Source organism: Homo sapiens, chromosome 10 (genome assembly GCF_000001405.40).
Source record: "Homo sapiens chromosome 10, GRCh38.p14 Primary Assembly".
Classification (NCBI taxonomy): domain Eukaryota; kingdom Metazoa; phylum Chordata; class Mammalia; order Primates; family Hominidae; genus Homo; species Homo sapiens.
The window spans coordinates 65306521-65308582 of NC_000010.11; positions in this window are offsets into that span (position 1 = coordinate 65306521).

The window sequence follows — 2062 nt, forward strand, 5'->3', positions numbered from 1 at the left end:
CTAGGCTAACCTCTAAATGCATCAGGAACTAAATTTTGTTTAATACATGCAGGAATACAACTTGTGAATATTTGATCTAGGGTTAATCCAGCTTGGGACTTTAATTTTTATTTATGGACGGACTCTTTCACTTATCTATTTCCAGTTTAGCACTTGTATCAGTTATACAACCATTTCATGGTTCCTGTGTATACCACATTGTTTTCAATGAGTTGAGTCAAATTGGATTGTATAAGCATAAATTGTGTCAAATGTTAGGGAATTACAAACTAGTAAAAATGTGAAAATAACCCAGAAAACATTACGAGCTTGTTTTAAATTATGGGGTTTTTCCCTTAATTTCCCAAGAAATGCTTTGTAAAAATTATCTCTTGTGTACATTGATAAATCTATTTGAAACATCTATTAATATTTTACCTCTCCACATTAACTTATGGGGCAATTTTACTCTAAAGCATTTTTAGCACATTCTTAAAGGACACTACGAAAATATGAACCACACTGCTGCTTTCTATAGTGTATAAGAGTTCCATTTTTCTTCCTCAGTGAAGTCTTAGTATAAAACTAATAGTGACACAATGTTATAATCAGATGTTCTTCTACTCCTAAAACAGTTTATCATTCTATTTCATATTATATTATTAAGTCATAGGATGCTACAGAATTAATCTTAAGTGTTTCTGAAAATCATGTATAAATTTTACCGTGCAGATTTAGAATTAAATGATGCATTTTAAAAAGTATCTAACAAATTGATAAGCATATATGTTTACATTTTTAAAGATAATATCACTAAACTTAATAAATCTAGTCCTGGATTATTCTTTCTCCTGTGTATAGTGCAGGCCATGGTTTGGAAGTCTCCATGAAAACACCATTGCACATTTGAAAAATAATTACTGTTTCATGAAACTGCTGAAAATTGCATTAACCCTGGACACAGTTTATCAGGTGAAATTGTTGTTTAGTTCACTTAAAATAATTCCAGCTGCACATAAAGATCTTGAACTTTAGCCTCTTATGACTATTTAGCTTAATTTTTAATCTTATAATACTAAGTTTTATTGGAAAAAATCTCATTACTATGCCTACTGGCACCAATACAGATTCATAGCCTCTTACCTCATTGGACCATTATTTTACTTGCTGCTTGTCTGATTCTTCTCTTATGCCACATCTTTTCCACGTTTTCAGTATGTACTGCTTTCTACTCATCTGACCCCTTTTCATTAGCTGATGACATTTTTCTCTGTGTAGTCAGAGAAGTACAAACTGTTATACATAACATCTCTTCGGTTTACATAATCTGGTCCAATTTAACTCTTATACAATTCCATTTTTTTTAACTCTTAAGAAATGGACTATTCTCGCTCTTCTCTAAAACAGTTATTGATCTATGCATTAAATTTTGTTTCAAACCCTATTATTCTGAAAATTTGTTCCCCTGATTATTTCCTCTCTCTCCTTTAATTTCAACATTAACATTTCTCTGTTTGACATGTTAGTTTATGCGTCTGTGGTGTTTTTTGTATAGATTATGTGGTGGTAATATAGTGTGTACAGATTATGTCCCAGCACACCACTAAGAGCCACTTGCCTCCAATAAAGTCTACTTCATCTGAAACTGATCAACACATTTTAAGCTAATTTACATATATATAACTGAAATTGTATTGGTGGTAGTAGCTAAGGCAAGTGTACACCAATCATATCCAGCACAAAAATATTAGGATTCATTAAGTATAAAAACCTTGAGTTTTTATGGCTCAATGACACAGCTGTCAATGTGGGTTGCCTGCTGTGCCTTCACTCTCTTAGCACTGCAAGGTGAGCTCTCTATTCAGGAAGTCTACATCTCACTTTATGAAAGGTTATGGCAGATCAAATGCATAGTGAGAGCCACATCAAGTGCAAAAGAGATCAAGCACTCCACATTTGAGATGACCAATAGACCATCACTGACCTTCATCTACATATTTAGGTACTGTGGCCATTTATCCCTACCACAAAGAAGTGTGTGTGTGTATATGTGTGTGTGTGTGTGTGTGTGTGTGTATGTGTG